This window comes from Homo sapiens, chromosome 7, assembly GCF_000001405.40.
Source record: "Homo sapiens chromosome 7, GRCh38.p14 Primary Assembly".
Classification (NCBI taxonomy): Eukaryota; Metazoa; Chordata; class Mammalia; order Primates; family Hominidae; genus Homo; species Homo sapiens.
The window spans coordinates 40,860,168-40,883,102 of record NC_000007.14 but is presented as its reverse complement, the minus strand read 5'-3'; the positions used below and the strand labels follow the sequence as shown (position 1 = coordinate 40,883,102).

Below are 22,935 nucleotides of genomic sequence, written 5' to 3'. Positions count from 1 at the left end.
AAGTTCTCATTGCCTTGGTTTAATCTCATGCTTTCAGTTAGGCAGGACAACTAAACCAAAGTGTTGTCAGAGCCAAGGACTAAGGCAGCAAAAGAGTCCTAGGAAGAAGGAGGAGAAAGCAGGCTGATCCACATATACTAGAAGCATAGAAAGGTTTTCAAAGCTAAACGAAGGAACAGATGGAGATGGGCTCAAGTTTTTGAGCTTCCAAACAATATGGAATAATTCTGAGAAATAACCAAGGATGAATTGTTGCTCCTAGAATAAAAAAAATATGAATCCAGTTTTACCTGATAAAACACCAATTCTGATGAACTTTTTATCTCTTCTTGACTTCAAACTTGAACCAGGAAATTAATAACATATTCATTACTTTGTTTCATTGTTTTTTCTCATCAATTACATTTATGCAATTTCAGGAAGGCCAATGTTCACCTGTAACATCTTTATTAGTTTTACCTTTAACCTGAATTCAATGGGTAGCAGACTTCACATGCAATTAGTGTGAGCCTTAATCAAAGAGCTTTATTGTGTGTTCTAACAGGAAGCATATCTATAGTCCTCTTCTGTTAATGACAGTGGGGATCTTGAGAACACACACAGACACACACAGCCTTGATGTGTGCTACCAATAAGATACATTCTACAGGGACCATTGAGTATTGCCTTCCATAGGAGAAAAGAGGATAAAATTTTATAGCAGGAAGTAGCTAAGATGATCCTCTTTATAACCTGACCATAAAGAAATCCAACCAGTGGATGATAGACACCAGAGCTCCATGCTCCACAGAACAACTGGGTCATTTTGACTGCTTCTGAATAGAAGTAAACAGAGCTTTATGTAAAATTGTTTATACTGGCCAGGCTTCAAGAACTTCAACTTTAGTGTTGGATATTTCAAAACCTTCATAAATTAATGGATTTTTCCTCCATAATTTGCAGCCCAGTGGATCATCTTCTGATGCCTGGAGAGCAATGGGAGGCATTCCTGTGTGTGGCAGATCTGGTCAGTTGCTCTCATCTATAACAAGGACATTTCATAACTTCCAATACTTTGTCTAAAAGGAAACTAGAAGCAAACAAAGGTGTGAGAAAAGGGACCTTTCTCAGAGACTTAGACCAATATTAGAGCCAATGTTGATTTCCTTAGCAAACCAAATGACCCTCTTCGTGATGGTTTTCACATGTGCATTTTTACTACCCTAGTCCTTAATGTTACTTTAGATTATGCCTTTTTCCAGGGCTTACCCTTTAGCTTGTCAAGCTCCTCCTTCGGCTTTCCCTGGGGTGGGAGCGAGAGCTTCAGAATAAACACAGTTCTTCTATCAACAGGACTTCATCTTGACTCTCTCCAGAACCACACTGTGTGGTAGAAGCCAGTGTCAACTTCCACATGGTGAAGGATGCCACTGTGCCTGAGATCTGGAAAAGAGATTGGGGTTATTTCCCAGCCTGCTGCTTTACTTGGCATGCAACTATCATGTTAAGAAAGGGCTTAACAATGTCCTCTTTTATATCAGGATATGGGGCCACCCCCATCTCCCAGCCAAAACAATAAAAGGAGCATTTGATATGCAATAAAGTGGCTGTTGCTCAGATGACCCATCCTCCCAAGTTCCATAAACATGTACCTGAGTCTTAAGGGAGAAGGCAGGGGGCTCAACTTGACAGAGAGGTTTCACTAAAATCTCTGTACATCATTGAGTCCCCAGAAGAATTGCTTTTCTATTCATGTAATGAATGGAACACAAATATGAAGAAGAGGAATTCTTCCCACTTTAAAGGGAATGGGAGCAGCTTTAGCACACCGGGGAATGTAGGAAACATAGAAGAGTTGTGTTCTATATAGCAGCGACAGGTTATGGTTTCAAACTAGCCAAGGCTTTGGCTGATGGGTCATGAGAAGTAGTTAATGATGGGTGCCTCTAGGTTTCTGAGAACATGGGAGAACATGTTACCCACGAAAACATGAGGACAGTGGCAAGCTACTTTACAAGAAACTGAAAATCTCATAGTGGAGGATGAGATGGTGAAGGGATAAGGTAGAAGTTATGTTCTGTTATGTTTTCTAATCCCAGTTTTATATTCTACATTGGTGTGAGACACATATGCTTGTACAACTTGGCCTCATAATCATTCTGCATAGCTTTCAAGGACCAAATGCTTGAGGGTCATTCTCTCTCTACCTCACAATAAGCTGTTGCCCAGAGGATCCTCCCTGGTTCCATCAATATCCAATCTCTTCTAGGCCAGATGGAAAATCTAACTGGCTACCTTTGCACACTTACAACAGAACTTCTGTCTATCAGCTGTACTCCTTTTTCCTGTCATGAAACATTGGTTCAGCATAGGTCACTGAATCATAAACCATTAGAGTTGGAAGGCAACGAAGAGATTCTCTGGCCCAGTGATTTTTTAAACTGTTTTAAATAAAAAGTCTTTTTTCCAATGAAATTTTACTCAGTTCTCAAAATATAAAATAAATATAGTAGCTATGATTCAACATGGCATTTTGATCATAACTTTTTATTACTTTTACCCAGTAAATAAATATAGATAGTAGAATTACAAACAAAAATCTTCATTTTGCAGTCCCTAATGAAGCCATGGATTTAGGCAGGAACCATGAATGGGTGCTGAAATCATAAGATGAAAGATTGATGGAGAGCTTCACAATACAAGGATCAGGCTGACATCAACAGAGCCCAATGATCACACCTATTTTAGTAGAAGTGGGTTAGTCAGCTATGTTGTGCCTTCAGAGCATTTGCAGCAGGGAGTATAGAGCATAACTTATGAAGTACTCTTGCCTGAATAAATAAATAACTAAATAAACCCAAAAATCTTTCCTCTGGTTTCCAGGAAATCTAATCACATCAGTTTCCAGGAGCTATGGGTCATAAAAGAATAAATCAAACAATACCATGAGGAAGCAATCAGCCAAATTCAGAATGTAGGACAGTCTACAGAACAAATATCCTAGTTTCTCCAAACGATCAAAAGAATGTGCAGTGAGCTGGATTACTGGCCAATTATTCACTCCCTTTTCCTGTGAGAAGATTATACATTGAGGCCTATTGCTCCTTGGCTGGCCATTCTTTCAAGGAACAGAGTATGTTCCTGTCCCATTGGTGTTGACTGGGCCTCATGACTTGCTTTGACCAATGGCAGGTAAGCAGCAGAGACTATGCCATGTCCAAGCTAAGCCATGTCAGCTATGCCATCACCAGCTTTCTTGCCCTTTTATGTCTGCCACAAGAACGTCCTGCCACAAATAGCCTGGGTCCCAGAAAAACAAGACACATGGAGAGAGGCCAAAGCACTGCCCAACTGCAGACAGTGTGCACTGTGGTCCAGAAATTTAAAAATTTAATCCTTTATGTTATAGCTGTTGAATTTGGGGGTCATTTTTTACCACAATAAAACAGGTAAATGTAATATGGAAAAAAATATGCAAAATGAAGAATTATTATAGAATAAAAGAAACTGGAGAAATGTAACCATTGAAGACATTTCTTGAACCATGATTGGGCCTCATTTCAAACTATCAAATCTCACTTTGGGGACAACAGAACCAATGTTAACAATCTTTGTGTATGACAGAATGTTAAGGGACTGTTGATTTTGTTAGGTATGAGAAGCTCATGCATGCATGTATTTCTGAGTTAGAGATGTATACTGAGATATTCATGACACACATGACATGATGCCTGGATTTGCTTCTGAATACGTCTAGAAAACAAAGTAAGAGATGAATAAACTGTTCACAAAACATTGATAATTGTTGAAGCTGGATAATGAATACATGGAGGTTAATTATACTATTATCTCTAACTTTATATATGTTTTAAAATTTTGCCTAGTAAATAGGTTTTAAATCATAGTGAATAAATTAAAAGGTATTTTTAAAAATGACAGGACATGAAGGAAGTCATCGGTAGACAAAATTGTGAAATTCCTTAAATATGTAAAGTGGTTAGATGAGTGGTAACTTAGAAAGTAAGATTGAGGGGCTGGGCGCGGTGGTTCATGCCTGTAATCCCAGCACTTTGGGAGGCCAAAGCAGGCAGATCACAAGGTCAAGAGCTCGAGACCATCCTGGCCAACATGGTGAAACCCTGTCTCTATTAAAAACACAAAAATTAGCCGGGCGTGGTGGCGGGTGCCTGTAGTCCCAGCTACTCGGGAGGCTGAGGCAGGAGAATCATTTGAACCAGGGAGGCAGACCTTGCAGTGAGCCAATATTGCGCCACTGCATTCCAGCCTGGCTATAGAACAAGGCTGCATCTCAAAAAAAAAAAAAAAAAGTTTGAGAAAGCTTCATTCTCAAGTATGTGCATGTGTGGTGGAGGGTGGCAGGGGTTTTTCTGGTGGAGGGTGTTGATCTGCCCTGGAGAGCTCAGCATAAAGCCGAGAACTTTACCACATTCACCCATCCAGACATCTGCACACAGAATGATATCTGGTAAAGTATTTGCCTTCCAAGTGAAAAATAACAGGCTTCATTTTCCTTTAAACAAGGCAAAACCTGTCTAAGGAAAACTAGAGCAGCTAATGTGGGTACTGGTGCCCAAGAGCAAAGCACTCCAAAATGTAGCATCTAGGGCTTTTCAGCCCAATAGTCAGCTCCTTCTGTTTTCACCCTAAAGTGAAGCCTACCAGACAATCAGCCCTGTCCAAAGAGGAATGCCAAACAGGCCAATATTGCCTTATTCTTAGATGTGAATGGACTATGAAGAATCGCTATATAATTGGGGAAGGTCTGCAGCTCAATAGAGATAAACACAGGAAAAGTGACACCAGAGAAAACAGAAATAACTAGGAAACAGAAGATAATATTTTTTAAAAAAGAAAATCTTTCAATTAGCATTCTCAGAGATACTGAAACAAGATAATGTTCATAAAACAAGAGCAGAATTCTATGAAAATGGAAAAATAAGAGGTAGTAGAAAGGACTGCTGGAAATTAAAATTCAATCCTAACTCCTACCCTGCCCTGGTTTTAAAAAAAGAAGAAGAAACAACAAAAGAAGATATAATGGAGTACCCCCAAGAAGGGAAAGAGAAATGTGATACTTTCTATCACTGGGAAAGTGAAGGAAACATTTGGGGCACCTAGAAGTGGGAAGTATCTGAAGCGGATAAGAGAAGAGTAGAATAGCCATTTATCTGACAGAACAGTAGAACTCTAGAGCTTTGTTTAGATCTTTGGTGTTTTCATCATGTCTGGTTTTGTCACCATGTCGTTTCAGAATATGTGACATGCACATGTGCAGAAGCAATTTAATGTGATGAGCATATTCTAGAAATATAAAACCAAAGAAGATTCAGCAGCATATGGAGTAAACCCTCAAGTATCTAATAACTCAGCCAGGCTTTTATTTCTAGAACTGAGAATCTCAAAATCTAGTCCCTACATTCATTGTCAGCTCTTGGTGTATACAGGTTAAGATTAAAAACAAATCTAAGAATCTCTCACAGGGATGTAAATTAGCTAGAGAAGTTCCCATCATTTTGGTTTTGAAAGTTGGGACTAAGTGGTTTTCAGATGAGAGCTGTGTTTGAAATTTTTATAAAAAGAAAATGTTTGTGTGTTGAGAAAAACTCCATTCACACACATACTCCCCACTCATTGAGTGCATATTAATTCCCTGCAGTACATTATCAAAAAACTAAAGAATATGTCAAAATTACGTTTACACTGGTGAAGTCTAAAAAATGCTATCAAAATGTATAGAACCCATGACTAATGATTTTGGGGGAAAATATCCAATAATGAACCTTGAAATCACATGCCATTTCTGGTAAACACATACAGACACGCATTTGGGTATAACATGAAAGGTATTCTTAGCACTTGCTAAATTGTTTATTACATTTTATCTAAAGACTATTTAATGTGTTGATTACAAGCTATGTTTCAAAAGAAATTGTTCATTTGGGCACATGCTTTGGCTGAAGGAAGCTTCAAGAGGTTGAAGGAAGGAAGAGATTCCTTCAAAACAAAAAGAAGAGATTCCTTGAAAACAAAGTTGAGTAGATATAAACTTTAAATGATTTTGAACTTTGTCTAGGCTCTAAGTGAAAAAGAAAAATGCGTGTGTATATTAAAGAAGAGAAAGGCTTTTATGAATTCTAAGAAAGGGTACTGTCAGAAAAAAAAAGATCTCGGGGAAATTAGATCGTGGATGCTGTGGAGTCCTGGAATGGCTCCAGGCTGCACAGGCCCCTCCAGGAGCAGTGGCTGCACAACCAGTGTCTGTTCACAGCAGGAACCTGTGGCTCTAAGCAGCAGCCCTGGGATGGATGCACAAATACAATCCATTCAGCATGGTTATCTGCCAAACCACCCCAAAGGCCTCCACCAGCCCCACACACCGACCCCACCTCCCATGGGCCTGAGACAACCTAGGAAGAATTTGGAGAGCCTCTGATTTATGGTGGTGAAGCTTTCCTTCCTTTCCAGCCTGCTAGAAGGAAAGAAGACAAATGAAACACTACTCATACACAGACTTCTAAGCCATGGGTGGCATTTGCACCTAAGTTATATTTTCAACTTGGTATACACATGGGATCCCCTTTCCTTTAAAGTATTTAAATAACTTTCTAGAAACTTCAATATGCCCAGCCTGTATTTCTTCTAGTATGGTCCTTCTGTTCTTTCCAGGGAATAAATTGACAGACAGCTGTAAGAGTGTGGGTTTAAGAGTAATGTTTTAAGAGTGGGCATTCTGGAGTCTGACTTCCTATGTGCACATGAAAGCTCTGGCATGCATGGTTCTATGACTTAGGAAAGTTACTTAAGCAATCTAATTTTCAATTTGCCCACCTGAGAGATAGAGATGAAGACAGTGTCAATCTTACGGAGTTATTATGAGTAGTGAGATAATGTCAACAAAGTTGGAATATTCCCCTGCCCAGAGGTATTATGGTTGCAATTAAAAAAGGAAACAAACAAACAAAAAGCAATTCAAAGTGGCCAAAACAATAAGTAAATGTATGTTTCATATAAGTTGGAATCCAGAAAAGCAGCCTTCAGCACAAAATGATTGACAATTCAATGGGTTGTCCAAAACCCAGGTTCTTTTCCCCTCTTCTATGCTATCCTTGGTATTGATTTCATTCCAAAGCTTCTCTCTGTCTTGGTCACATAATGGTGGCCCATGGACAACGTTATGACCACCTGTGGCATTATTTCTTGTTCATGTTCAGTAAGAAAAGGTGAGGCAAACTTTCCCAGAAGCTTTCCAGGAGGCTTCCCTCATCCCTTGGACCAGAATTAGGTCCCATGCTCATTCTAAAATAATCACTGCAGGGAGACTAGGACTGCCAAGCCTGGCACAGACTCATCTTTGCAGGAGAGATGGATGGAGGGGAAGATTACTTATAGATTCTGTAAAGGTTAGCTTTTATTAGCATTATTGTCTACATTAGGAATGCACTTGTAGACTTACAGGAAGTTTAGAAAAACTTGCAACTGGTTATTGCCTCAAAGGTCTTGAAATGACAAAACACATTTGTTGTGTCACTTCAGGTTGATTTCTAGTGGCTGTCTAAAGTGGTACTTAAGAAGGATTCAGGGGTTCCAACTGTGTTGGAGAGGAGAAGGAAAAATGATTAGTTATAGGAATTAGCCTGGAATGGAAGATATGGCCTCATCAATGCCATGGGTAGGACTGAACAACTGGGTGCTGTTTCATTTACACTCTTTTGTTCTGCCACCTTTTGAACTTTAGACAATATGGAACTACACTAACATGTCCTCAAGCTTTTTTGACTAAAACCAGAAGCACATCCTCCCCATGGAAAAATAAATTTCTGAAAGAAAGATTTCTGAGAAAGTGAGTTTTCTCAACAGTCCAATTCAACAACTATTTCCTGAACACTAACTTATTTCCTATGCTGTGCCAGGTGCTAAGCAGAATACAAAAGATGTGTGAGACACAAATTCTACCCTTAAGAAATTTCCAATCTATCTCAGAAGAAAACATGTGCGCAGTAAAGGGTTAATAGTAGAAAAGACCATCTAGAACTCAGAGTGCAAGGAAATTGCTACCGCCATTTTAATTGGCCATGACTAACTTGACCAGGGAGAATCCCATAATTAAGTGCAGTGCCGTTTGGCAGAGTGGCATATGGGATCTGCCTAAATCTGTAACAGGGACTGATACTTTCCATGGAGCAGGCAGACAGATGGCCTGAGTTTTTCAGACTTAGCTTCAATTTCTCCCATGTATTAATCATAACCACTACTGTGACCTTGTATAAATATATATTCTTCCAGAAAAGGATAGATCTTGAAGCCTGATGAGGAGGTACGTTTCTAGAGCACTAAGTGTGGTGGTGGCTTCTCAGGCTCCTGCACCATCTTCCAATACAACTCTTAGGATTCCCAGTTGAACAGCATTGATCTATCAAAGTGGCTCTGCACTCTTGGCCCTAGAGAATATGTTATACAGAGAATATATTGTATATCACAAATTCTTACGTGCTCATATCAGTGCTACATGTCTATAACTAATTTGGAGCAGCTAAGACTGATAAAAATTTACAGGGTGATAATAACAGCAACAGTTACTCACTAACAGTCACTTAATCCAGCGCACTGTATCGGCAAGAAGAATCATGATATAAAACTGAAAAGAAAATGTCTCTGGCTTACAAGATATTTATAATCTAGTTAACTTAATACAACAGAGATATATAGAACAAAATGTATAAAGGAACATACAAGACTACTATCTCTCATCTAGGCCCCTACTGTCTCAAAGGCAGATTATGACGGTTCTTTTGGCTCAGTTTTGGTCCACTCTATACACAACTGTCAGGGCCATCTTCACAAGGTATAGCTTTGGATGAGTCATTTCCTTGGTGGAAAACCTACAACATCATCATAGTGTCTACAGAAAAATTACCCTCTTGACTTTCAAGGTCCCCAGCTATCATCTGAAATCTGCTTCTTCCCAGTCTTCCAATCTATTGCCATGTAATGGCCCTCTTTCACTACCCACATGGCTCCTTTAACTAAATTTGTTTACTTAAGATTTCTATTTCCAAATATGCCAGTGGTTGGTGTTCCTGTCTACACGGCCTGCTCACCTCTGCATGTAACACTCTTAGTGCCTCTGCTGATATGAGTCTTGTTTTCCTTTGAAGATGAAGGCTCATTTCCTACAAAATTATTTTCCTAAGCACAGCAGGTTACAGAGTCATTCCCATCTCTGAACTCCAACAACACTGGCATTTCTTAGGTAATAGGATGAGTTATTATGCATCAACTTTATGTGTCTTACCTCCCAACCTTGGTTTTAAGTTCCTTGATGTTGAGTACCTGTCCTAATCCTCTCTGTATATCCAAAGCTTAACAAACACAAAATCTTCAACAATGCTCTTGATGGCAATATAAAGTCAGGCATAAGTATTGAGCTGAGTAAAGGAGTAATCAGTTATAACCAGAATAAACTGGAATTAATTTTTTAAAGGTTTACTAGACCACTGACTTTTAAAATTGGATTTGGAAGAAAGGGCAGGAATGACTGAAGTGTGAGAAGGAGGAAGCAAGAAGGGCGTAGGTTAAAATGGTGGCTGTGGACATGGAAAAGAATGTGGACATGGAATGGGTGGGCCCGGGAGCCTGGCCACATTCTGATAATGCAATAAAATCAACAAACCAGTGCAGAAGTCTGGTTGCCAGATGCCCTTCCCATTGCGTATCTTCTAGGTGTAACTTGCTGAGGTCTATAGAGTCAACAATTAGGGCCAAGAAAAAGTCATCCTGTAGGCTCAAATTCTATCATATGACCTTTAAATATTTTTTTCCATTCAATTCTTTAAAATACCATTTCCTTTGGCAAAGTAATTTTTTCCAATGGGAAGCTCATTGGTAAGTTTTTTGGTCCTCATTTTAACCTTGTTAGAACAATTGGACAGAATTGCAAATGTTGATTAATATTTTGCACATGTATTTATCCTCTTTTTCATGTCCTTAAGTACCTCTTGAAAGCTCCATATTGTAGAGAAGACCCTATGACTTCTAGATCCGCAGGTTTTCAGTGGGGTAGGGTACGTTACTGTTATGTTCTGATCAAGGGATCAGCCGGGTTCCGCTGAGGCTGCACAGCTGTGACCCAGTCAGCAAGCCCTGACCTCAGACGCCTCTCATGCTCAACACTTTAGCCTTAATCCACCTCAGTTCTTCTCCAGAGCAGACATCTGAAGAGTGTGTACATCAAAGAGTTAGGAAGGTGTGCCAAGGAAGGTATGAATTCTCTCACTTGATATTTCTTAACTTTGTAAACACTCTACTTCCCTACAGTTCTGGGTTAGCAGATACCCAAAAGGGGTACAGTTAATTCCTCATTTAAAGTTTCTTTCTCCTTTAAACTTCACTGTTCAAAACTGTCCATCTATTTTCTCTACACTTATTCCATTCTCTGTGTATCCACAGTATGAAAGAAATAAGAATGGCAGAACTCAAAATATGGATCTTAGAAATTATGTCCTCAGAGCCCCTGACTCATCAGAGTAAACTGTGGCCCAGAGGGGGATGCGGCCTGGTCAGTGTCGCTTGGACAACTTATAGTTCTCTAATTATATTAAGAACTAAGATCTTCCCTGTAATTTGACTTGTGTCCCTAATGTAACTGCAAATTTGAAGAACAATTAATGAGGAATCTTCTTTAGATAGAATGTTTTGCTTCCTCCACGTTAGAAACATATTCATTGCAAGAAGCCAAAATAAGAATTTCACAAGAAGTCAGAACAAGAATTTTTCATCAAAAAACCACTATGGTAAGTTTTATCTGTGGATCAATTATACCGCAATGAGCCCACCTGTATCCTGCCTTAAACTTAAATAATGTAAAAAAAAGATGAATAGATGGGACGGTCAGGCACCCGCTCTCCCACCTGAAGGATTAGCTTCCTCTAGATTAGTGTTTCTCTGCAGCAGCGTTACTGACATTTTAGGCTGAGTTTTTGCTGTGGGGCTGTGCTGTGCATTGCTGGATGTTTATCAGTACCCACTATCCCCAGCTTCTACTCCCTGGATGCCAGTAGCAATCCTTCTCCCCCCACACTCCCCTCCATGCTGTCCCCAGTTATGAGAACCAAAAATGTCTCCAGACATTGCCAAATTTCCCATGAGGGAAAAAATTGCCACCCTCCTCCCAGAGAACCACTGGTCTAGAACGTGGAGGTTATTCTGGGAGGTCCTTGCAAAAGTTTCTCATTAATATTTGTGTTCCATATCCTTTACCGCCTACTCTACCACTACTGCTGTAATTTATATCCTGAGCTCCCCCGAAGAGGTTAACATACAGCAAACAACACTGCCCTTTCATAATGCCTCCTCCAGACAAGGTTTGACAAAGAGTGGAGATCACTGAAAGACGTGAATACCAGAGGGTGAGGCTCACTGGCGGGGTGGGGGCGGGGGGACTATAAAGGTGACCTACTGCAGAAACCACTCAGGTAGTTAAACTCCTCTCTGAGTTTACAATTCATTATGTATTACTGTATAACAAACTATCTAAAATTTAGTGGATTAAAACAATATCAATGTATGTGGGTCAGAAATTTGGTCAAGGTTCAGATGGGCAGGTTCTTCTGCTCCATGTGGCACTGGCTGGGGTCACTCATTCAGTTGTATTCCCTTGGTTGCTAAGATAAGCTGGATATCCAAGAAAGCTTCACTCACATGTCTGGTATACTGGTGCTCCTCCAAATGGCCCCCCTCTCTCTCCACATAGCTAGCTTGGGCTTCTTCAGAGGATGATGTTCAGACATGTAGCATGCTAGTTGATTTCCAAGAGCATAAAAGGAAGATGCCATACCTCTTAAAGACTTAGCTTAGAAATGGCACGTGGTTTTAAAAATATGTGCAAGGATACATATAGAAACAAATATAAATGTGTGGCTGGGTGTGTGTGTATGCATGTATTTCCTCCCTCGTCTGCAAAGGGGACCTAGTCATAATGATATTCCAGTAACAATTAGCACGTCTAGTATTCAGATCTTGGTTTCTAAATACCATTTTCTAGTAAAAGGAACAAGGGCTTTTTGGAGAAATGATTAATTCCAGGGCTATTGTAGGAAAAATACAACATGATCCTGAACATCTTGTATTGACAGAAAGTAAGAAAGTGTTCTTAAAAAGGTAGGAGCGTGTTGAAAGGACATTCAATTCATGCTGAAGAGGCTCTCAGTGGCCAGATCTGTGACAATTTAAGCAAAAAAACAATGAGTACAATAAATGATAACCCACAAAATAAAACAAATATCAACTAGTCCATATTGATATAAATAAATAATTGAATAAGTAAACAAATGGAGAACGGGCAACTCTTACAATAGAATTACAGTTAATAAATCTAAAAACAGGAAAAATAGAAGTAGAATACCAAATAATTGTTTAAGGCAAGAATCACAGACAGATGCTAAAATTCGTGGGCAAAACTATAATGAAAAACAGAATATTTGCATATTTTCTATGGTATCCTAGAAAATGCCTCCTCAAAAGATAATGCATTCTATCTAATCCCTGAAATCTGTAAATGTTATCTTACATGGGAAAGACTTTATGGATGTGATTAAATGAAAGATCTTGAGATGGAGGAGTTATTTTGGACTGTGTGGGTGGGCCCTGAATAGAGCCACAAGTTTGCTTACAAGAGACAGGCAGAAGGAGATTTGATGGCACACAGAAGATCATGTAAAGGAGGAGGAAGAAAGCAGACTGAGAGAGAGAAGATGTTACACCACTGTCTGTGAAGGTGAAGAAATGACCATTGGCCAAGGAATGAAAGGAATGCAGCTTGAGATGCTGGACTATGTGAGGAAGGGAATTCATTTCTAAAGCCCCCACAGAGAGCACAGCCATGTAACACTTTTCTTTCAGTTCAATGACATTGATCAGAATGAAATCCAAAGACTTCTGGCCTCTAGAATTTTGAGAGAATTAAGTTCTATTGTTTTACATGATCATGAGTGTGGTAATTTGTTACAGTTGCTGAAGTGAACTAGTACAGTCTCAGAATATTTCCCCAAAATATACTTACTGATTACAGAAACAAACAAAAGCAAACCCAGGACTTTTAAGGGGAACTTGTAAGATGCCGCCTTAACTAAAGGATCAAAGTTAAAATGACCAGTAATACAATATCAACATCATGTACATCCTGTTACGATATACTGCAAAGATCCAAAATCACCTCTGAAATTTCTTGCCAAAAATGCATAATCCTGATCTAATAATGAAGCATTTCACACAAAACCAAATTAATGGACATTCTACAAAATAACTGCACAATACACTGAAGGTAATTAAACAAAGAAAGATTGGAGACTGACCCAGATTGGAGGAGACTAAGAAAAAATGACAACTAAATGTGATGTGGAATCCTGGAATTGATCCTGGATGAGAAAAAAAAAATGACATTCGTGGGTATATTCATTTTCTGTCACTGCATAGCAAATTACTCCTAGCTTAGAGGCTTAAAACAACAGCCATTTATAAGCTTTCAGCTCCTTAAGTCAGAATTCAAGCATGGTATATCTCTACTCAGGGTATCACAAGACTGAAATCAAGCTGGCTTGGCTGAGTTCTTTTCTGAAGCTCTGGAAATGGATCCACTTCCAAACTGATTCAGGTTGTTGGCAGAATTCAGCTCCTTGTGGTTGTAGGACTGAGGTCCCTGTTTTGTTGCTGGCTGTCACTTGGGTTTTCTCTCACCTCCTAGAGGCCACCTGCATTCCTTGCCATGTGACTACTTCCACATGTCAAATCCCCTTTGTGCTTCAAATCTGAAGCCTAATGAGTTTGACCTCTAGACCCAGGTTTAAAGGACTCATGTGATTAGTTCAGTCCCACCTAGAGAGTCTCTCTATACTAAGATCAACTGATTTTGGACCTTCATTACATCTACAAATTCCTTCCATAGAAGCACTTACTTAGTGTTTGATTGGATAACTGAGAGACAGTGTGTGTGGCTGGGAATCTTGGGGACCATCTTAGAATTCTGCCTACCCAAGTGAGACAATCAGTAAAATTTGAATAATGTTTATAGATTAGCTAATAGGATTATATCAATGCTAATTTTCCAGTTTACATAATGTTACATTGGTTATATAAAATGTTAACATTAGTAGAAACTGGGTGAATGTACATGGGAATTCTATGTACTATTTTTGGCATTTTTTGTAAATCTAAAATTATTTAAAGTAAAAAGATTTTTTAAAAAGCAAGTCATAGCCCATAGCCAGGCTCAGTGGCTCACACCTGTAATCCGAGCACTTTGGGAGGCTGAGGTGAGAGAATCACTTGAGGCCAGGAATTTTGAGACTGGCCTGGCCAACATAGTGAGACCCCCACCTCTATAAAAAATTTAAAAATTAGCTGTGCATGGTGGTGCATGCCTGTAGTCCCAACTACTCAGGAAGCTGAGATGGGAGATCGCTTGAGCCCAGGAGTTTGAGACTGCAATGTGCTATTATTGTGCCACTGCACTCCAGCCTGGATGACAGAGCAAGCGCTCACCTCTTAAACAAAAACAAAGCAAGTCACAAGGCTATCTTGGTGTCATGGAATACTATGCAGCCATAAAAATGAATGAGATCATGTCATTTGCAGGGACATGGATGAAGCTGGAAGCCATCATCCTCAACAAACACAGGAACAGAAAACCAAACACCGCATGTTCTCACTCATAAGTGGGAGTTGAACAATAAGAACACATGGACACAGAGAAGGGAACAACACACACCAGGGCCTGTTGTGGGGTGAGGGGTGAGGGGAGGTAACTTAAGAGGACAGGTCACTAGGTGCAGCAAACCAACATGGCACATGTATACCTATGTAACAAACCTGCATGTTCTGCACATGTATCCCGTATTTTTGTTTTGTTTTTTAGAAGAAATAAAGAAAAAAAGACTAGCTCAGTGTCAAGGGGAGGAGAAATAAAATGCATCTCTTGCAAGAAGGAGGCACGTGCATATAGGGAGGGAGGAATAGATGGTGACTATCCTTGAAGGCTATTACAGACACTATGAGTAGTAAAATAAATATGACCAGTTTCTGTCTCATAGAACTTGTAATCTGGTGGGTGAGAGGATGTCTATTCAGCAGATATTTGTTATGTATCTCCTATAGAGTAGGCGCTATGATAACAACTGGAGATACAATAGTGACTACGATACCCACAATTATATTATAGTTTAATAGAAGAGAACCACCAGTAACCAGGTAATGATAGCTCAATGTGTGACAGCTGTTTTGGTCAGATAAGCACAGGGGACTAAGACAGCAAACAACATGCAGCGAACACTTCTAATTGTGCCGATTAGAAAGTGCTTCATTCATGGCTTAATAGACAAACATGAAGATGTACTTCTTTCTTGCTTCTGCTCCAATATTTGAAAATGTTCCAACAAACCAAAACTAAAAGAAGTTATCTATTCAGTTCACTGCTGTATCTTCTCATTTTGTGGGACTACTTTTTTTGTTTAATTTGCTTATAGAGTAGGTTTTCATATAAATGCATGTTTTCCTACTAATACAATTTTTAAAACTCCTACTGGAGTTATACATATAATTCTAGACATCTCTCATACTTCTTTTTATTTGTCCAAGAATCTGAAATTTAACTGGAAATAGGTTTCACTCATGTTCTAACGTTTTTCAGAATTTTTGGTAAGCTATCATTTATAAGCTTATAAGAGATGCTCTCTCTCTCTCTTGCTCTCTCCCCATATATATGGAGAGCATATATATACACATATATATATATGCTCCAATATTTGAAAATGTTTTATGAGCTTATGAGATGTTCTTATAAGCTTATAATATATATATCATATATTATATGCGGAGAGATAGAGACATATATATGGGGGCATGTGGTATAGAGACATAAATATATATATGGGGAGAGTTCTTATATATATTAATCTTATTTTATATATTAATCTTATTATATATATATAAGGAGTTCTTATTTTACATGGATGCGTCTTGTAAATCTACTTCCACTTTGTTCAGGAAATTAAAGGTAACAACTCTGACAACTGTCAGAGTCCTCTTTCTCCCCCCATCTGGGCCTATTCTAGATCTGAGAGCTTTTTTTGCCGAGCTAATAAACCTTCCCCCAGAAAAGCGCCCACACAGAGACCCACCAAGCTACTCATTTCACCTCATGTCACCCAGGTTGTATGAGAGTAGTTGCATAAAACATCGAGTTTGGATCGTTGTCATCTCTCCGTGGTTTGTCAGTGAGTTCAGCTAACGATTCACTTAGCAAGTCTTGAGCACCACCTCTGGCCTGCATGCTGGGCTTACATCCTTTCACTGGAGTTTTCCCAGACTGCAGAAAGTAAAGCTAGAGAATGAGACAAAACGTTTGGGACTCAGCATATGGGAAACGTGGGCTTGGAGGTGGGAGCCCAAGTCACTGGCTACTTCGGCTCTGTCGTGTTTCTGAGAATGGGGGCTTCAGTCTGCTGTAGTCTCAGACTTCTCCCACTGCACTTGTGGAGTTGCTGCATTTCTGTCCTTCCCTGTGGCCTGTGTCAATGCCATTGCAAGCACGTTCGGCTATATGAAGAGGCAATCCTAGATAGGAAAAGGGAGTTCATTTTTCTACCTCTAGAGATAGTGATTCTTTAACTGTCCTCCCAAAATGGAAGCTATAATTTTCCTGACCCTCTCCAAGGAAAGAACACAATAATGTTCATCAGGAGTACATTTCAAAGCTTCCATCAGGAACAGCTGGAAGTTTTTTGTAAAATCTAAAAACATAAATCCAGGACCGTCAGGGTGAATGTGTGTTATGCGTGTTGCCACATCTCATACCAAGAGATGCTATGGAGATCCAAATTCTAGTGGGTTCACAAAGAGGTAAGAGGGGTGGAAAGAAAGGTATTTTCCTGTGACAGTTTGACATTAATTTCTTTTCTTTCAGTATCCCAGTTGCGTCTTCTGAAGCTGAGTCTCCTGTTTTATGGTGAGTACTCGTGCAAAGTTCTAGGGGAGAGGAAGGGGTGTGAGTGACAGGACGCAAAGCAGGAAAACACTGTTCCCCCAATCTATGTGGTCAGGAGCCAAAGAAACTAACTGGAGTTGAAAGGACTGTCATGTGGTTAATCTGCAAAGAAAGAGAAAGGGAGGAGGCATGGGGAGCGATGTGGCAAAGTGTTTTCAGCCTGCTGGGAGAAGAAAGCAAAGGGAACATGAGAATGGAATCACCCTATTTAACAAGGTAGAGGTGAGGGCACCATCCTTCTGGAGGCCATTGGATTAAAATGGCCAGGGACAAACTATTCACCGCCACCTGAAGGCCAAGTAAATTTTCCTTTGCTAAGAAAGAGTAAGAAGCAAAGTCCAAGACCCAGCCTGACGCTGGAGCAGAACAGTCCCCGATCACACTGTCATGCTCTCCCTGCTCCTGCCCTAATGGAACTTCCTCTGTAACCACAACAGCAAGACCCAAGCTGTTCGGCTCCAGCGTCTGGGGCCAGAACAAAGTGTCTGGGCCTGGAACGAAGAGTCTAGACTCTGCTCTGCATTCTATTTTATTTACTTTAGGTTTTCCCCCTTAGAACTGGGTGCATGTGACATACAGCCAGAGAGCCTGAGAACTCTGCCACAGCCCAGAGTAGCATTTGGAGTACCCTTTCATTTCTTTCCCTGTGTTTCAAGGGACAAGAAGTGGCAGCTAGTTATTAAAGAGCCACCCCACCCAGAGATTAATTCAAGACTGCTTGTGGGGGTGAAGTCATAGTGAGAATTACCACTAGTTATCTTCCTAAAGACTGAGAAAGTCCTATTTTTCTGAAGGTCGGACACAGGTTTTGGTATCCACAGTTGTATAACATGGATCTATAACTCTGTGTGCGTGTCTGTGTGTGGAGAGAGAGAGAAAGGATGAGGAGATGAAGAAAGGAGAAAAGAGAGGAGGAGGGGGGGTTGGAAGATAAAAGGACAGGAGGAAAAAGATTTTTACCCCAGAGAAGGAGAGAGAGGGGAAGAGGTTCAAAGGCTGAGAAAAAAGACAGGTAAGAACGGGAGTAATCAGGACAAAGAGAGAAAGAGGTGAAAATGGAAGAGCGGGGAGGCAGCAATTGTTCATGTTGCAAAGGAGAGAGTTTCCTGTCCTGCACTTTTAACCCTAAGGTCTTAATAAATGAGAAAAAGGAGCTGCTTCACATGAAAAATCGAGGTGAGTAAATTCTGATATCTGGCTAGTGTTTGAGCTCTTTCTAGTGCCTGCCCCTCCCTCTCGGCACCAACACGTCAGGCTGGGTTCATTCTGCCTGTGGCTTCCAGAGTCTTCCAAGGAAATGTGTCCTTGGATCTGCAGCTCCTGGGTGTGCTCTCTCTTTCCCTTTCCCCCTAATCAAATTTGCCTATTCCAGTTCCCATTCCTCCAAATCTCTCCTTTTTTGTACTTGTTTTCCCTAGTGTGTGGAATAAATGTAGTAGTGCAAGTATTTGCATTCATTTGCCTATAATACTTTAACCTCCTAAAGTGACACCAGAAGACATATTTTTGAGTGGATGTTGGGGTAAAGATGTCTAGTGGAGTTGCTTCTGCTCCCCTAAACCCACCACATAAGCCTGTCCTGCATACTGCCCACCTTGTTTAAAAGTTCAGGGTCATTCCGGGCATGGTGGCTCATGTCTGTAATCCTAGCACTTTGGGAGGCTGAGGTGGGCGGATCAATTGAGGTCAGGAGTTCGAGACCAGCCTGGCCAACATGGTGAAACCCTGTCTTAAAATACAAAATTAGCTGGGCAGTGGTGGTGCACACCTGTAGTCCCAGCTACTTGGGAGGTTGAGGCATAAGAATCACTTGAACCTGGGAGGCAAAGGTTGCAGTGAGCTGAGATCGCACCACTGCACTCCAGTCTGGACAACAGAGCCCAGGCAACTGAGATGTTGAAAGGAACTTTCAGGGCCATTCATGCTCAGAAAATGGCATGGTGTGTCTGTATGGAGAAACTAAGCATCTCATGAAAGCAGTAATTCATGAAACATTTAACCCTAGTTTTGCTATACTGGGATAGTAAGAAACGCAATTGTACTTCATGCCTGAGAAAACTTTTAGACTGCAATATAAGAGCCTCTGTGATGGGTTTTTAATTTTCCCTAACTGCTGTTTGAAATGGAAATATGCATCTTTTTTCTGCATCTCTTCATCTTCCTTATCAAACACATGCACCAGTACTAGTACCACTAGATCAAGCAGGAAGAGGAGTGAGATTGACATCCTACCTCCTAAAGATCACTCATACTGTAATCAAGATAAGCAACTGTTTTTTTTCAGGCCCGTTGTACCTCAAGAATTCCATCAATTAGAAGGGCTCACTACATCAGGGAGTCTCCTATGAACAGAAGCAAATGCAAGGAGACTATCATAATCTTGGGCAATGGGTTTGAAAATGAATAGCCCAGGGTTAGGGTATGGAGGGCAACGGTGTGCATTTTTCCCACTCATCTCCTTTGCCAATTGAGAGTCAATGGTGAGCAGTTATGAGAAGGGGCTGAAGATCTGCATAGTCTGTCTAGCCTGGACCTGGCCTTCACTCTCAGACTCTTTAGGTCCATTATCTGGAGTATGAATCCTACGTATGAATGAAACATTGAGCCACGTGGGACCTGAAAGTTTCATATCTATAAAGCCTTTAAAATACAACATGACAAACCCATGGCACAAAAGAGTCAGTGGTGAAATAGCAAACTCAGGTGAGATATGAGAAGGTACAAGCTTCCCAAGGGCAGGAGTTGTGAAGTCTTCATGCCAAAGCCCTGCCTTGTGGTGCTATCCAGCCTAATGTCCTGGTATGAACTAGCCTGTATAAAATCCTCTTTGTTTTGAGATGGAGTCTCGCTCTGTCACCCAGGCTAGAGTGCAGTGGTGCTATCTCAGCTCACTGCAACCTTTGCAGGAGGTTCAAGTGATTCTCCTGCCTCAGCCGCCCAAGTAGCTGGGAAGGCAGGCACCCACCACGCCTGGCTAATTTTTGTATTTTTAGTAGAGACGGGGTTTCACCATGTTGGCCAGGCTGGTCTCAAATTGCTGACTTCAAGCGATCCAGGTGCCTCAGCCTCCCAAAGTGCTGGGATTACAGGCATGAGCCACCGTGCCTGACCCCCTCTTTGTTTCCTTAAATCATGATTATACTTCTAACCCCTAGGAGATGGATCAAACACACGCTCACACCAAGTAATTGGGTAGTCACACAAAGTTGATCAATATTCATTTCTCTTCTGCTAGAGAAGCATTCAGCATATCAGACTGCTTTCTGGAAAATATCATGCTTGATTAGTCAGAAAATCATGGCAGTAAAAAGTTTCAGAATAAAAAAAAAAAAAAAACAAGAAAAAGAAGCCCATTTGCTTACGGACACACTTCCAATTCTGTAACGATTACCCCACTGAGTTTCAGAAAATTTTCTAAGCCAACCTTAGACACAAACCTGCCAGAAGGCAGGCCTTGACACAAACTGAACTTGAGCATATGGTATATTAGTAGTGTGCTCTGTTTCAGGAATGTGTAAGATAATAGGCCCCGATAATTAAAACAGCACATTTGTTTATAAGCATAACTTGATCTGGGGCATATTGTTAGAAATTTTAGCAAGCATGATGTTTCTTTCAGGACTAATTATTCATCTGAACTTGAAATATATTCCAAATTATTTCTTCCACTAAATCAGCAGAGCACAGTAAATGCTTTCTGTTGGGTGACCAGTAGGTTCAAAATCCTGGATCATTTTGACTTGCGTAGGTGGAGTCCTAGACACTTACATATATGATTTCACTAGAGACAGTCTTTTTGTTTTAATATTGACTGTGTCATGTCTGAAGACTGAGCTGTACATGGATTTGAAAATTTTAGGGGAATTTTGAAAATTTTAGAGGAATTTTCTGTCCTCTTTGCATGATCAATATCATCCTACGTATGTTTAGCCAGATATTTAGGGTCTGCCCAGTAAGTGAGTAAATTTGCATTTCAAGATATCTACCCAGATCAGCGGAAGAAATGGTCGGGCCTATCTTTCAAGATATGTGGTTTTGCCAATTCTCTGCCATCTAATCTTTTACCATTTTTCATATTAAATGTACAAGCATAAAGAAATATTTCACTACCTGGCCTAAAGTAAATGTCTCTGAGTATGCATTGTGAATTAGCCAATGGGGGAAAAGTACTGCAGAAGGCATCCAATTACCCTTGTATGATGTGATTCTAACTAGTAGAATAACAGCAAGAGTTCTTCAGAATAAGATGTCCACAAAAAGCAAAGCAGAGAAGACAATAACTGTTTCAAAAATTAGTAAACATTCTTTGGAAAAGTGTCACAAGACCTTGTGAGAAGACAAGTTCCTATTTGTTTGGAATTCTTCATTCTAGAAACATCTTAGGCCTTACAGCATAGATTAATGACTCAAATCATTCTAATAAAGAAGAATATGAAAAGAAAATGAGTTTTAAATCACAGTTTGAAAGATGAACATCTGTAATTCAGCTTTCAATTACCATTTGGTGTGTAATGACATTAAAATAGATGTGCCTAACAGCCAGGAGTTGAGGTCATCTGATTCCCCAGACTATACCTGGGCTTAGCAGTCTTGAGCAACAATTTATCCTGGAACATACGTCCTAATCATTTCTCACCTACTGGACACAGGTGTTTTTTATACTTTATATCCATTGAAATACTCAATGCTAAGGCATGATCTAGTCTTCAACAGTGGATGCTCAGATTACAAAGCAATGTCTTCCTGTCATTCTTTTATCTGTCATGATGTATAAATTATTTAACACCTGGATAGTCATTTAAGAACCTGTTTAATTCATTTAAAAACCCTGTTGCATTTTCACTTGGCTCAAAATAAGGTACCAAGTGTAAAACCACTTCTCACCTACCTGTGCAGACAGATACCTACATCTCTAAATGCACTGGGAATATTGACTTTCTGCCACATAGCATAAAATCACCAGAGAAATACAACATAAAGCAAATATTTACCCCCACAGGGGAGAATGGAGCTCAGTTTTATAATGGACATCCGCAAAGTCTATGGTTTAAATTAGAGACTAACAAAGGGTTCAAGAGCTCAGAATTAAGTTATTCTGTATAAAATCAATCACAGAGACTGTCATTCTGCTTATTGCTTTGACTCCCTAACACAAATTTAAATGCAGATTTTATGTACAAGTAGAAAGTATCAAGAGAGCTGCTCTTTTTCAGGCCTGTATGGACGGGGCGGGGGGTCTGGTGAGGGCATGGGGGGTAAGGGGCAAACGTTTAGGACATTAATGTAAGTAGAATAAGGAGTGCATTTTTCCAGGAAAAAAATTAAAACTTTATTTTTAAAAATCCCACAAATCCATAATGAAATCATCATCTGAAAAAAAAGATGGTAGGGAACAAAACGTGGGATACATTTAAAAGGCACTAGATTCATTAATACCAGAGCCATTCTGGAGATGCCATGTAAGAAATCTGGAGTTACTCTAAATCTTCTTTTTAGTGGTATCAGAACTGGGGAGAAGGGTCCAAGCAAAGTGTTGCCTTTGCCAGTGTATTCGGATCGAGGTTATGAGGAAGAGCCCTTTTCCTTTGTCAGTGAGTTTCATGTTGGTCCACCACTCCAGCGCTGAGCAGCTCCCCGATGGCCCTGTCATCGTATCTCAGGACCTCCTTCAGGATGTGCGTTGTGTGCTGCCCGAGCAGCGGGGGCGGCCTGGCCTCTGACATCTTGAACTTACTGTATCTCACAGCTGGGCCTGCCAAAGGAGAAGGAAAGCAGGAAGCCTGTTAATGACTAACCCTACGAAATTAATTACCTAAGCAGCCTGGGGTGTTTTCCATGAATGCCAAAAATATCAATGAGTGCCAGTTACACCCTTCCAGATGCATCAACGTTTTGGAAAT

At 40.2% G+C, this 22,935-nt stretch overlaps 1 protein-coding gene and 1 long non-coding RNA gene across 20 annotated transcripts in view; one reads left to right on the top strand and one right to left on the bottom strand.

The window, feature by feature from the left end:
- The window catches only part of SUGCT (succinyl-CoA:glutarate-CoA transferase), a 903,812-nt gene that overhangs the window by 155,714 nt on the left and 725,163 nt on the right, over positions 1-22,935 (bottom strand). For 12 of the 17 annotated variants that reach the window (XM_011515525.4, NM_001193311.2, XM_006715775.4 and 9 more), the window contains one exon: positions 22,340-22,787. In XM_011515525.4, the coding sequence (XP_011513827.2) occupies positions 22,624-22,787 (164 nt within the window). In that variant the 3' untranslated portion in view covers positions 22,340-22,623. Of the gene's footprint in view, positions 1-505; positions 1,423-22,339; positions 22,788-22,935 lie in introns of those variants that run through there. The other 5 variants (XR_007060157.1, XR_007060158.1, XM_047420840.1 and 2 more) reach the window with 3 other exon arrangements.
- Positions 1-22,935, top strand: part of LOC105375242 (uncharacterized) — a 41,876-nt gene that overhangs the window by 17,204 nt on the left and 1,737 nt on the right. For all 3 annotated transcript variants that reach the window (XR_927191.3, XR_001745181.2, XR_927192.3), the window contains exon 2: positions 16,955-16,996. This is a non-coding gene — a long non-coding RNA (uncharacterized LOC105375242). The remainder of the gene's footprint in view (positions 1-16,954; positions 16,997-22,935) is intronic.